The 15289-nt window shown below is 43.0% G+C and overlaps 2 annotated features.

Moving 5' to 3' along the window:
* Nucleotides 1982–2482: an enhancer, noted in NCBI's record as "H3K27ac hESC enhancer chr11:85665736-85666236 (GRCh37/hg19 assembly coordinates)". NCBI's record gives its function as "activates a minimal SCP1, AML or CMV promoter by ChIP-STARR-seq in primed H9 embryonic stem cells {active_cell/tissue: H9 hESC(primed)}" and the evidence as "EXISTENCE:reporter gene assay evidence [ECO:0000049][PMID:30033119]".
* Nucleotides 9080–9129: an enhancer, noted in NCBI's record as "active region_5371". NCBI's record gives its function as "activates an Ori minimal core promoter by ATAC-STARR-seq in GM12878 lymphoblastoid cells {active_cell/tissue: GM12878}" and the evidence as "EXISTENCE:reporter gene assay evidence [ECO:0000049][PMID:35858748]".

The raw sequence follows: 15289 nt of genomic DNA, 5'->3' as shown, positions 1-15289 counted from the left end.
CTGGGAAGTTGTACTTTTATAAGTTACCCTCCTTAACTTTACAAATTTTTGTCTCTTGTGGTGTTTGAGGAGGTGTTTATATTTAAGGTCTGTGGCTTGTTTTCTTTCATATTGCCTTTTTTTTTTTAAGTATGTTTCAGTATGTGACGTGCTTCATAGCCATTTTTATTTCATTGTTTAAACAACTTTTGGGCTATGTTTGATAAGTGTTATCCATATTTTACCCATTTTATATGTAGGAATCAGAAATCAGAAAAGGAGCTGGGTGCAGTGGCTCACACCTGTTATTCCAGTAATTTGGGAGGCTGAGGTACATGATCACTTGAGCCCAGGAGTTCAAGACCAGCCTGGGCAACATGGTGAAACGCTATCTGTACCAAAAATACAAAAATTAGCCAGGTATATGCCTATAGTCCCAGCTACTTGGGAGACTGAAGTGGTAGGATCACCCGAGTCCAGGATGTTGAGGCTGCAGTGAGCTGGGATCATGCCACTGCATACTCCACCCTGGGTGACAGAGTGAGACCCTGTTTAAAAAAAAAAGGAACTTGCCCAGATGAGTAAGTTAACAGATGGAAATCAAATCTTTGCTTTCATGGTCCATTGTTCTCTCTGTGACCTGCTGTCACGTAATTCATATATATATACTGACATGGAGATTGTTTCCCTCTGCAATCTAGACTGATGGCCACTCTTTATTCCCAGTGGTCTTTAGTGAAGTACATTTCCTGCCTCCTCCTCTGATGCCCAGACATCGTTGACAAGGAAGAATGCAAACATGCGACAAGAGCAACTTTAACCAAAATATAATGAGTGAAGTAAATCAGCTATTGATTACATAATTACATCAGGCTGTAAACTCATACATGCTCATGTCATTTTACTATCCAGTTAGCAAGTAGCTATTGGCTGAGATAAGAGAGAAGATTGTAAGCAGAGGACAACTGTACCTGTCCCAAATCGTTTTCAAAATTATTTGCCTTTGATTTAACATCTATCAGCATTCAGCATTTTTTAAAAGGTATCCCTTTCTTAACAAGTGACTATGAGAATACATATTTAGGAAGAGGACTTCCTTATGTTAGCCTAGGAATCTTCTGCTTTTCCAGAAGCCAACAAAATGTGACTTATGAGAAATAGGCCTTAATGGGATGTTTTTCTTGAACTAAAAATAATTTCAAGGTTCTTCTCATTTATCGTAACTCACAAACACGCTTCCAAACTCTGTTTGCTTATTCTACAAAATTCCACAGAGAAAAAAAATCTCTCTTAAGAGTGAGTGTGGCTCCTGTGTGCTAGCAGTGACTAGGTCACAATGTATGGAGACACCACAGTAGTAAGCCAGATGAATTTATTCTTGCCTTCCAGGAAAGATATTTCACAGCTTTCATCAGTGGCCTCTGCAGTCAGCTTAGATCTTTGTTCTGCCACACTTGCTGCCTTCCATGGGTGTGACTAGCCCTTCTGGAATTCTGCTGTCTGAAGTTTCGGAAAAGAAAGGCTGCATTATCATCCATGCTGTCTCTTGCTGAAAACATTAAGCTGATTTCTTGCTGTTACTAAGAAGTAATGTCCTATTTGAAGTATCACCAATCCAAAAGGTTTTCTGTGTTTCTAGCTAGTATTCCTAATGTTAGCATAAGCACTCATTGTGTCCCATTTGTTGTTGATGTAGTATGCAGACGTAGTTGCATGAAAGCTGTATGAAACTGACAACACTGTTAATGAAAGTTCCTTCTATGGTATTTGTTCTGGGGCAGATGTAACTTGAAGCGAATATTAAACTGATTTTAGGCAGACAACTAGGAGAGAAAGGTGAGGTTAGAAAAAGTTTTGTTTTCTGATAAGCCCTGGTTCAAAATAGCTTTTTATCTAATAAAAAAGCTAATTTTAGGCCAGTGCAGTGGCTCATGTCTGTAATCCCAACACTTTGGGAGGACAAAGTGGGCGGATCACTTGAGCCCAGGAGCTTGAGACCAGCCTGGCCAACATGGTGAAACCCCGTCTCTACAACAGTGAAAAAAAAAAAAAAAATTAAGTCCCAGCCACTCCAAAGGCTGAGATGGGAGGATCACTTGAACCCGGTATGGTTGAGGCTGCTGTGAGCCGAGGTCACACCATTGCACTCCAGCCTGGGCAACAGAGTGAGGTGAGACCCTGCTTCAAAAAAAAAAAAAATTAAAGTTTTGTTTTGTTTTTGTTTTGAGGTGGAGTCTCACTCTGTTGCTCAGGCTGTAGTGCAGTGGCGTGATTTTGGCTCACTGCAACCTCCACCTCCCAGGTTCAAGCGATTCTCCTGCCTCATGTGCCTGCCACCATGCCTGGCTAATTTTTGTATTTTAATAGAGATGGGATTTCACTATGTTGGCCAGGCTGGCTCAAACTCCTGACCTTGAGTGATCCCGCCTCCATCTCCCAAAGTGCTGAGATTACAGGCGTGAGCCACCACACCCAGCCTAAAGTTGGTTTTGAAATAAAAATTGTGTGTGATTGACCTTGTGAGCTAAACCTTGCTCTGTCGGAGCCTTCCCCAATTAGGTACCCTGTCTGTCTTCCTTGAGCCTTGGTCCCTTGGCAGCTGTCCTGTCCTCTGGATAAACAAGTATTGAGTTACCGTGCCTCTGACTGGGACCCTAGGGAAGGAAATATCAAGTAGCCCCCCACTGCCCACCACTTAGGCTATCTAGGAAGTCAGATTTCTTTAAACTTTTAAGAACACTACATGGAAGCATTAAGCACACCACACTGGCACTGCCAGCTAGCTTAGTGCCTGTGTAAGGCACAAAATATTAAATCTGCATCTCTGATCATTTTTGTCCTAAGAAGGGTAGTAGTGTTAGTCTGTTCTTGGGGTTGCTATAAATACCTGAGGTTAGGTAATTTACAAAGAAAAGAGGTTTAATTGGCTCATGGCAGGCTGCATGGCACTGGCTTCTGGTGAGGCTTCAGGAAGCTTTTACTCATAGCCAAAGACAAAGTAGAGAGCAGGCCTGTTTACAAACAGGAATTCATACTTAAGAATAAGAGGTCAGATTAATGGGATGTATCACCCCTTGAGACCAAACCTGCAGCACAAAAGAGCCTTGGTCTCACAGGTCACAAATAGACATTCAGTGCAGATTTTTATTGCTATCATCCCAGGTTAGAGCCCAGTCTACACTACCTGATAGCTGGCTCTGCTGATACTCAGGCCAACCCAAGGGAAAAAGATGGATTTTCTTTTTGGGGGAAGGCTGGTCTTTGGTGCAGACAGGAGGAATACTGGTCCAATGGGCTTAGGAGAACAATATTTATCAGTCACCCAATAGAGAAGCGTGCTTTCCATTCATCAATGTTTATTTTACTGTCTTATAGGAAACTTGGGAAGTAAGCAGGACTTCCCAGGCCTCTTGTCTTGTGTTATGGGAAACCACAGGACCCATCAGGCATTTTTAGTTTCATTTACCAGGCAGTTTATTGATTGCAACACTTAGCATACATGATTCACAAAGTTCTCATTCTTGATAATTTTCTGCCCAAATGTAGCTTCCTGAGAAGGGCAGGAGTGATCCATCACGTGGTGGGTGTTCATGTTTCTGGTTGGCTCCAGCCCCTTCCCTTGAATCCTGTGCTTTAACAGCTGGAATCCTTCAGTGTGTTTGGGTGGCTCACTGCTTATCAAATATTCAAGGCCTACAACCATTGCAGCCTTTCTCATACCTCCACTCTTGAAGCTTCTGCTCAGGCTAACTGTCTCTTCCCTGCCTCTTAATTGAAACTCTGGAATTCTCTGTGCCTTTGTTTTTACCTATTTGCCTGTTCAAAGTCTGTAATTATTGGGATGGAAAGTGAGCAACTCTGATCATTTTTAGGAGCACTGTAAATTGGCCAGCCCTTCCAGAAAGTCATAAAAATGTTTGTCTCCTTTGCTCAGTAATTCCACTTCTAGACATTTAAAGAAGTCCAGAAGTATTAAAAGAGCTGAAACTGGATCCCTTCCTTACACCTTATACAAAAATTAATTCAAGATGGATTAAAGACTTACATGTTAGACCTAAAACCATAAAAACCCTAGAAGAAAACCTAGGCAATACCATTCAGGACATGGGCATGGGCAAGGACTTCATATCTAAAACACCAAAAGAAATGGCAACAAAAGCCAAAATTGACAAATGGGATCTAATTAAACTAAAGAGCTTCTGCACAGCAAAAGAAATTACCATGAGAGTGAACAGGCAACCTACAAAATGGGAGAAAATTTTCGCAACCTACTCATCTGACAAAGGGCTAATATCCAGAATCTACAATGAACTCAAACAAATTTACAAGAAAAAAACAACCCCATCAAAAAGTGGGCGAAGGATATGAACAGACACTTCTCAAAAGAAGACATTTATGCAGCCAAAAAACACATGAAAAAATGCTCATCATCACTGGCCATCAGAGAAATGCAAATCAAAACCACAATGAGATACCATCTCACACCAGTTAGAATGGCTATCATTAAAAAGTCAGGAAACAACAGGTGCTGGAGAGGATGTGGAGAAATAGGAACACTTTTACACTGTTGGTGGGACCGTAAACTAATTCAACCATTGTGGAAGTCAGTGTGGCGATTCCTCAGGGATCTAGAACTAGAAATACCATTTGACCCAGCCATCCCATTACTGGGTATATACCCAAAGGATTATAAATCATGCTGCTATAAAGACACATGCACACGTATGTTTATTGCGGCAATATTCACAATAGCAAAGACTTGGAACCAACCCAAATGCCCAACAACAATAGACTGGATTAAGAAAATGTGGCACGTAATACACCATGGAATACTATGCAGCCATAAAAAATGAAGAGTTCATGTCCTTTGTAGGGACGTGGATGAAACTGGAAACCATCATTCTCAGCAAACTATCGCAAGGACAAAAAAACAAACACCACATGTTCTCACTCATAGGTGGGAATTGAACAATGAGAGCACATGGACACAGGAAGGGGAACATCACACTCTGGGGACTGTCATGAGGTGGGGGGAGCGGGGAGGGATAGCATTAGGAGATCTACCTAATGCTAAATGACGAGTTAATGGGTGCAGCACACCAACATGGCACATGTATACATATGTAACAAACCTGCACATTGTGCACATGTACCCTAAAACTTCAAGTATAATAATAATAAAATAAAGAAAAAAAAAGTACCTATGACAGCGGTTGAGATTACCAAAGGAACCACTGTGTGCCAGAGTAAGGGCCAAGGATGAGTCCCAGGGAACACACCCTTATTAAGGGGTGAAGGCCAGGAAAGAACAATCAAAGCTGGAGGCGGAGAACCAGGAAAGATAATTATGTCAAGGATATAACTGAAGAAGTAGGGAATGGCCAACACAAGTAAAATAAAGACCAAAACCTGCCCATTGGTTCTAGCAATTAGGAACTTGAACCTTACCCCTAGATATACCTGGGAATTGTCAGGGACAGAAGGCAGATCACATGGCATTGAGAAAATGCAGAGATATCAAAAAGCTATGAACTAAAAGAGATACTAAGCAAAAGACTGACCAAGGAAGATTTTTAGAAAGCAGATTGAGTTCTTCGTTCATCCATTCAATACACTGAGTGCCTTCAATGTGCCAGTAGTTCTAGGTGCAAGAATCAATAAACAAAACATAGATTCTTCTTTCATTGAGCTTATTTTCTTGTGAGAGTAGGCAATTAGCAAATATTTTATGACAAATGATGATGAGTGTTGTGAGAAAAAAATAGTAGAGAGAGTGATGTGAGCAGAGTGTGGTGCTGTTTGGGATAGGGTCAAGGAAGACCTTGAAGTCATCTTTGAACAGAGATACTAAGTAAGGAAGCAGGATGGTAAGATTTGGAGAGTGGCTCTCCTCCCCACATATGGGGGCAGAGGGCAGAACAAAGGCCCTGTTTCCCTAGTCAGAAACAGCACTGTCGCCAGCAAGGTTTGAACAAAGCGAGCAGGTTGGAGCTGAGGTCAGGGGTGGCAGTGGGCCTAGGCTAGGCCATGCTGAGGCTTGGATTTCTTTCTCAGTGGGGAAGCCACCGAAAATGTTGACCAGAGGATTCTTTAAAAACTTTTGTTGCTAAAAGGCTCGCTCTGGCTGCTGTATTATGAAGGAACTATAGGGAGACTATTATAACAGTCTTCCAACATGAGCAAAACTTAGCCCCTGAAAGCTGTAGTGAGCTAGAGGAGATAGCTAGGTGAGAGACAATCAGATAGGTTGCAAAATCAGCGGGAGAAAGGGAAATGCTGAGTGGTTAGGACTGGAAATGTTATGGGGTAGGAGATGGAAGAAAGGCAGATGAAGAGCCTGGAATATGGAAATACGCAGAGGACCATTTGCAGAAATCCCTTCCTTGGAGAGTATCACCATCACTGAGGGAAGCAACTACTGCTTGATGAGAGAGTACAGCATAGCAGTAATGGTGTAAACTCTGCCATGCTGTGTGTTTAAACCCCAGTTTGAGCAAGTTACATACTCTCCCTTTGTCTCAGTTTCTTCATCTGTAAAATTATCATAATAGTGCCTACCTCATAAGACTGTTGTATATAATGAATTTTTTAAATTTTTATTTATTTTTTTTGAGACAGGGTCTCACTCTGTTGCCCAGGCTGGAGTGCAGTAGCGCCATCTCCGCTCACTGCAACCTCTGCCTCCCAGGTTAAAGAGATTCTTGTGCCTCAGCCTCCCGAGTAGCTGGGATTACAGGTGTGAGCCACCACATCTGGCTAATTTTTGTATTTAGTAGAGATGAGGTTTCGCCATGTTGGCCAGCCTGGTCGTGAACTCCTGACCTCAAGTGATCCGCCCACCTCAACCTCCCAAAGTGCTGGGATTACAGGCCTGTGCCACCATGCCTGACTTGTATTTAATGAATTTAAAAGATACACTCAGAACATGATAAAGATGTGATATGTAATTACTGTTATTCTCACTGGGATGCAGAACAGCTTGTAGTCAAGAGCCTAGATTCTGGATCCAAATTACCTGTGTTCAAATCCTGGCTCTGCTCCTTTACTACCTGGAGAACTTTAAAAAGTTACTGAATTTCCCTCTGCCTGTTTTTTCATCTGTAAAATGGGTGTAATTATAGACCCTACCTCATAGGGTTATAATAGATAGGATCAGTATGTGTAAAGTGCATATAATAAGCACATTTAAGTGTTTGCTATTGTTTGTATTACTAAATTGTTGACATTGCCAATTCTGCCTTTTTACATAGCTGACCAAAGCCCAATGCCTGTGGAGATCCCATGAGTGGTTTTCAAAGCAGAACTTTGAACCCCTGACTCCACATGTCCTCACGACAAGCAGGAGTTCTTGGTCCTGGGGCAACTTCAGTAATATTATAGTTTGGTGTGACAGAACACATTTTTGAAAACAGCCAACCCCACACATAAGTATACTTAGGGCAACAGTTTAGATGCCCATAGATATTTTCTAAGTAGAATACTTTCTAATGTACTTTGAGCCCTTTTTAAAACATTTTTTCTTCGTATCATCCAGCCCAAAATGTCAATTTGTAAAAAAAAAATTTAACAGAATAAATTGCTTACCCAGCCCTATTTAATGTCCTAGAGACTAGAGACTACTTTTCTTTTCTTTTTCTTTTTCTTTTTTTTTTTTTTTTGAGACAAGGTCTGGCTCTGTCACCCAGACCAGAGTGCAGTGGCAAGATCATGGCTCACTGCAGCCTTGAACTTCTAGGCTGAAGCAATTCTCCCACCTCAGCCCCCAAGTAGCTGGGACTACAGGTGTATGCCACCACACCCAGCTAATTTTTTAACTTTTTGTAGAGGGGAGGTCTCACTATATCGCCCAGGCTGGTCTCGAACTCCTGAGCTCAAGCAATCTTCCCACCATGGCCTCCCAAAGTGCTAGGATTACAGGCATGAGCCACCACACCTGGCAGAGACAATATTTTACTATTGAAACCATTGACTTCTCATAAGGGAAATATTCAGTCTCTGTATGAGGATTGGTTTTGGTTGTGTATAACAGTAAACTTAAACTAACAATGATTCAAACAAGATAGTTTCTTTTCCCTCACACATGGAAGTGTGACTTGGTATGTGTGCCTACTCTGCCCCACAAGATTGTTAAGTGTCCACTTTTAGGTCTAGGTGTCTTGGTGTCGCACAGTCCTTAAGGTATTACTCTCAGGTGCACAATCCAATACGGCTAAGCAGCATAACCACATTCCAAGCAGCAGGATTCAGGTGGGTGGGGACAGGAGAAGAGATGACCCAGAAATTGTGCACACTTCTTGCACTTCTGTTCACATTCCATTGGCCAGAACTTTGTCATATGGCTATTTAAAAAAAAGCCTAAAGACTAAAAAAATGTATTTAATTTGAGTGACCGTGTACCAACTAAAACAGCTAAATAGATGATTATAGAAGAAGGGGGAGAGTAGTTTATTTTTTTCACTTATATTTTGTACTATTGCTAATAGGGAGAATATATTTAAAGACAAAATAGCAACCAGTGCCACAGTCCTACAATTTTTATTAGAAGAATTAATTTCATGAAGCTTTTTCTGATCTGTGACTTCAAAACCCATGACACATACTGCAAGTTGAGATCTGAGAAATCTTTTAAAATAATGTTTTAGAATTGAAATGTGTCAATGAAAACAAATACAAAAAACATCAAAAGCTTAAAAAAATGAAAACTAAGCAGATCCAAGCTGCTAGTGCTGAGTAAATGTTACAAGACATGTTGAAAATATGTACATTCTCACCAGATTTTAGGTCCAGCTATATCTCACGTTGACATTTCCATATAAATAGCATAAAAGTAAAAAAAGACACTTTTTAAGTGGCTAGGCGAAAATGACTGATGTAAAAATGAGATGTAACGAAGAACATTAAAGCTCTAAGGTTAATTACACACTTGTGCTAGAACCTCAAGGGAGGTCAGGGTACACCATCCCTCTGATTTGGTGTCTGAGGACTTTGAGGTAAAAGTGACTCGCTGGCCTCATTCAGAGTAGTCATAGAGAGGGGAATCCCACGTGGTTAATTTTCATTCTTCTTAGGAGGAAAATGTTGCAAGGGCTAGCATATTTTTATACAAAAAGATGGCAGTAACCCAAGAAGGCAAGAGGTCAGCGAGTTGACACAGGACTTGAGGAAGGAAATGCTGACAAAACCTTATGCTAAGAATCTGTGAGGATATCTGAATCTGCAGTTACTTTAAGACTCATTTGTTGTGCTGGAAATCTGAAAACATTTCTATTTAAAGATTCTTTAAAAGTATCTTAAAGGCTTTTAGCACTTACTCAGATCATAAGAACAGAATGACCTAAAACATAACCAACCTAAAGAGTCACGATACAAAAAAAAAAAAAAAGGCTTTCTGGGAACATGAGCCTCACAAAGTCATAGGAATAGGAAATGGAAATACTTAATCAAGTTAAAGTCACTAATATTTAGAAAGCCTCAGTTGTTCGAGGGTGCATTTCCTTGTGTCTGTTACAAAAGCCAGTTTATTCCAAGAAAAATACAGAGAACTGTTGTGTTGGCATCTAGTAAAACAAGCAAGGAAATCAGTCCTTTAACAAACAGCCCTTTGTTGCCATAAAACTAACCTAGCCTCTCTGTTCCCTGAATGGTTCTAGTGTCTGACTACATGGCTTGAGAAGAGACAAAAATGCCTGTACCCCACCTCCTGCTACACATAAGAATTTTGGAACTAGGTTTACTACTTGTCCCTACAGCCTCAAGTAGATCAGCAGATTCAGGATGGGCCCTTGGAGCCTACTGGATGAAGACCATGCCCCTATACCAGGGCGGTGACTGATTTGCTCTCAGCAAAAGACAGAGCGAGCCTTTGGATTAATAAGCATGTAGTTACCCCATATGCATATAAAACTATCATATATCTATACAAATTAAAACTTAAAGTGTGTAGAGCCCGGCTGTCATCATACTGGTTTGCACCTGACACCATGTGACGGATTGGACACAGACTCTGCTCTGTGTGCCTTTACGTGAATGCATTGCAAAGACAACCATACTCTTTGGCTACTTCCAGAGAATCTTTAGAGATTCCTGTTATATGTCAATTTTTTCAACTGCCATATATTGCATGTCTACTATGTGTAGGTTACACACTTTCTAATCCTTAAATAATACTGCAGTATGGGAATTAGGTTTGTAAAGTATAGTTGAGGAAACCAGGGTTTAAAGAGGTTAAGTGACCACCCAAGATGCAAAGGCAGCCAGCCTGACTCCACAGAATGTGTTTTCCCATACTCTGTCTCTTTACACCTCCTTAATTTCTTCAAACCTAGCTAATTTTTGGCCTAAAGTAAGCAACTTACTACCCTGAAGCTCAAGCTCCAACCACCTTGTTCCTGCCCCTCAAATCTTGAATAACAACATGCAAAACTCAAATACTTTGTTATTCTGAGAACTGAAACCTACATAAAAATCCTCCTAAACTCATTTTTACTTAAATTGCTTTTTCCAAGCCTATTACTAAAGGTACTAAAAACAGTGTGAGCTAAACACATGGTAGCCTCACCCACCACACCTAGAATAGCTTTTCCTGTCTTCTCCCACTTTCCTTGCTTCCTTCCCTCCTTGTTATTGCTGAAGACTGAAAGCAGCAATGATGGCTCAGGCTCTCTTAGTGGACCATGAGCTATTTGAGGAAAGAAGCAGTTTGATTTTGCATCCCTAAAACCTTACAAACAGTGCCTGACTGGTTCCATAAATGCTTTGTTGAATGAGTGACACCCATAGGAAGTTCACAGTGGTACAACTTTATTGAGAGTTGCTTTGCAATGTAGTCATTAACAAAGCTACCATTGTAAGCTGTTTGGAATTTGAGTTGTTGAGAAAACTGCAGATTTATTTTAGAGATACTGCTATTCTGCAAATCTCAAACACAAGAAATGATACTAATGGAAGGAAAGCACATTGATATGGTTTGAATGTTTGTCTCCTCCAAATCTCATGTTGAAATGTAATCTCCAATGTTGGAGGTAGGGCCTGGTGGGAGGTGATTGGATCATGAGGGCAAATGCCTCATGAATGGTTTAACACCATCCCCTTGGTGATAAGTGAGTTCTTGCTCAGGTCACATGAGATCTGGTTGTTTAAGACAGTCTGGAACATCTCCCTTCTGTCTCTCACTTCTGCTCTTGCCATGTGATAAACCTGTCCCCCTTCACCTTCCACCATGAGTGTAAACTTCCTGCAACCCTTGCCTAGAGCAGATGCTTGCATCACACTTCCTGTAGAGCCTGCAGAACTGTGAGCCAATGAAACCTCTTTTTTAAAATAAATTACCCAGCCTCAGGTATCCCTTTATAACAATGCAAATGAACTAATACAGACATTCTTTCCCCTTCCCTTTCCAAATGATGCCTTCTCAACTCTGACATCTTCTTGGCAGCAAACAAGACTTTTTTAGTCTGTCAGGTTCCAACCTGAGCTGAGGTCTGAGGGGAGCTGGTGGATGGGTGGTGGGTAGCTGAAAGAACACTCGAGGGACCATAGGCAGTTGGGACATGGCTTTATTCTCTCCCCCTCTCCTACAGAGTCAGCAGTGCCATTATATTTCTCACAGACAACAGTGGCTTAAAGCCACATATGGGCTCACACAAACAGGTTACATTAAATGACTACATAAGTGTGATTACATAGTGCACAAGATTTTGTGCCTGCACTCCAAACCTGCTGTGTCGTGCTGTACTGGATGTCTGCCTTGGCCTACTCCTGACTGAAGCATAGCCATTTTCCTTATACTCCACCCCCTAGGCTGAGGGAGTTCTCCTAGTGGGGAGATGTGCCCACAGGGCAGAACCCTGGACCCAGAGGCCACAGCAGCAATACAGAGAGCAACAACTCACTCAACTCACTATTAATATTCTCACTATGCTACCCATAATTATTAAGAGTCCAGCATAGGCCAGAGCCCAGGGATGCCCACCATGTTTGTTGGGGGTCATCAGTAAGGCTTTCAACTGCCTTGATTTCCTGGGAAACTCCTTGCAAAGCTGCTGTTATGTTTTGTTGATTGTCACGGATAAAGGTACAACTTTGTGTTCCCAAAAGATGCCAGGGATGAAGATACAACATTGTGTTCCCAAAAGAGCACAGGTGCCACCTTGGGGAGCAGTTAATATGTCTAGGGCCATCTGGTTCTGCAGTGCTACCTTCCTGGTTTGATCAACCTCATCTGTCAACAGAAGGAGGGCAACTTGGGTGTAATTCAAGGCTTGAGCAGTGTGCTCAGCAAGGGCTGCAACCTGCATTTCTACAGTTATGACACCTGCTCTAGGGATGGCTAATACTAAGGGGTAGAGCCACCTGGTTTTGCACTCCCAAAAACCAGGAACGTAGCTCTTCCCAGTTATGTGGGTGTCTAGGCAATGTGGGAATATCAGTGGCAGGCACAAAAGGCCACCCCCAGGTACAGCAGCCAGACAGTTCACTGGCAAAAAGAACCATCCCGTGTCTCCATAGACCCATAAACTCCCAGGGGGGGCACAAAGTCTACTAGGGCCTGACCTTGCTGAAGCTGCCTATTCTGCCGCACCTTTGGTGTGGTGACATATATTATATTTGTGCAGGCTATGGCGGGTAACCACCCCATGGTGGCATTACCCAAAGCTGCTCTATACATCATGGTACCTGTGGTGGGGGCTAACCCCCACTAACCAGCCCCATCCATCATAGATGCTACAGGTCAGCCAGGGGGTGGGAATGCCATGGGTCTTATAGCACTCCCTAGCCAAAGCTTGCTGTGTCATGTTACAAACATTGGCCATGGGACCCCAAGTCTCTAACCATGTCTGGTTTTCTGCAGAAGCTGGATGTATGTGCCAGGGCAAGTCATCTGCAGCTGCTACGGGAAGGGTGGTGCAGATCCAACAGCTGGACACATTGGTCATCTCAGCATAGCCCATTCCACAATGCTGTTAGAGCATGTCAACTTATGGTCAGAATGACAAAGCAGGCACACACAGGTAAATCACTCTTCTGAGGCAAAATACAAGCCAACCTTTTATCTCTGGATAACAATGCAGCCGCCAAGGGCTTCTGCCCTGGGCAATGGTACCACAGCTTCTCAGCTCCCCATGGTTTCTTTGTGTCCTGTATTTGTGCCAAAGTCACTGGGGAGCTCACAATAGGCCATACAGACAATACAAGGAGGGGGGTTCCTTCCCTGAGCATTCCCCTACGAACGGTCAATCATGGAAGCCATATATTGAATACCCAAGGAGTGACATGTAAATCATACTGTAGGCCCTCCCCCCAGAGGGCTACCATAGCCAACCATTGGCAATGGGGGACTTGAAGGGTCCATGTTCAAAGCCAGGTTTTTTGTTCCCCTGCCTTTAGGGGCATTAGGGCAGGCAACCACAGGTTACTGTTGGTCCCCATACCTGGTCAGAGGAGGTCATCCTTCTTTCCATAGGTCTTGCCACATGGCCTGGCCCCAAATGGGCCAGTGACCAACTAGCCAATCGTGTAACTTCCAGGTAGTTAACCACAAGGTCAGGCCTCAGTAAACTGCCCAGCTACTGGGGCAGATTACCATAGGTGTCTCCTTCTTGGTGATCACCATCCATACTGCCCCGAGTTCAGCTCACTGACTTTGTCCACCTCCAGTATCAAACCATATGGTATCAATACTAGGCTGGACCGCAACAGCAGTCCAGGCAGCAGTAACACCCTGGCTGGACCCATCTTTATACCATGCTCCACTGGGAATGGAAGAGGTGCCTGCCCCTCTTTAAATGGTAATGGCTCAGGGTTTAAGGGTGCCTCAGGTTGACCCATGGCCTTATCTTGCATCAGGACTACAGGTCCCAAGACTTCTTGTAATTCTGCTGATAAGGGGCTTTTACTCAGGGTACTCTGCTGTTTTGACTAGGCTCCCCACTTTGCTAAGGTAGATGTCTGTGCCATCCCAGTCCGGAGGGTCATTACCCGTGAAGGTACCCACCCCACTATTGGGTAAGTCATCTACAGGCATGACTACTGTTGTTTGTCCCATCACACTCTCACAAGCCTGAAGGGTGGCATATGCAGCTATTAACTCCTTCCCTATCAATGAATACCAGAGCTCAGCTTCCTTCCAAAGTTGGGACCAAAAGCCTGCCAGTATTCTAAAGCCCTCTGTGTGCTGCCATAGGCCTTGCCAAAAGCATCTGTGGTCACACGCACATCAAGTTCAAATGGGCGCCCCGATCAATTACTTGTAGGGCCTGTGCTTGCTGTATGGCCCACTTGGCTGCCAGAAAAGCCATCTCAGCCTCATTGTCCCAATCCCAAGTAGTTCCCATTTTTGTCAACTGACACAACGGTTTTACCATCTGAGCCAAATGGGGTACAAATGCCCACCAATATCCCAAGAGGCCTACAAAAGTCTGTAGTTGCCTCATTGTTGTGGGCCGGGTATATGCCTGAATTTTATCAGTGATGGCCTCTGGTATAGCCTTTGTTTTACCCAAGCAGATAACTACCAATAATTTGGCAGACAGTTCAGGCCCTTGGACCTAGGATTTGTTGACTGCCCAACCTCATGCTGCCAAATGTTGTTGTAAAAGGGGTGCCACCACTTCTGAACCTGCAAGAGAATCAGAGGTTAACATAATATCATCAATATAATGGAATAGGTGGATTCCCTTTGGACACTTCCAGGCGGCTAAATCCGTGGCAAGGAGACCATGATGTATGATGGGGCTACACATATAGCCCTGCGGCAGCACTGTGAAAGTCCACTGTTGCCCTTCCCATGTGAAGGCAAACTTCCTGGCTCTCTGGAGCAATGTCAACTGAGAAGAATGCATTGGCCAAGTCCACCACATAGTGGTACTCTCCCAACTTCATTGTCAAGGGGTCCATCAAATCCATGATAGAGGGTACAGCTGCATGTAAAAGGGGTATTACTTTATTTAGTTCTCAATAATCCACTGTCATCTGCCAAGTTCCATCAGGCTTCTTGACTGGCCATACTGGAAAATTGTAGGGTCTGTAGGTGTTACACATTATCTGCACCTTTTCTAACTTCTTAATAGTCTCAGTTATCTCTGTATGCTCACCTGGCAAGTGGTATTGACACGTGGAAGTAATCCATAAGGGTTGTGGCAGGACATGGAGCTAGTGATGTGTATGTCTGTGGAGTACCAGCTTAACCCCACATACTTGGAGTCTGAATTCCCCATCCGTGGTTTGTAAAGCCAAGCCATGTAAAGTATCCACCCCCAAAATGTATTCAGGTATGGGAGAAACATAGTTTATAAGTGGGGAGCCAAGCAGC

This window comes from Homo sapiens, chromosome 11 (assembly GCF_000001405.40).
Source record: "Homo sapiens chromosome 11, GRCh38.p14 Primary Assembly".
NCBI lineage: Eukaryota > Metazoa > Chordata > Mammalia > Primates > Hominidae > Homo > Homo sapiens.
This window is presented reverse-complemented; position numbering and strand designations above follow the sequence as displayed.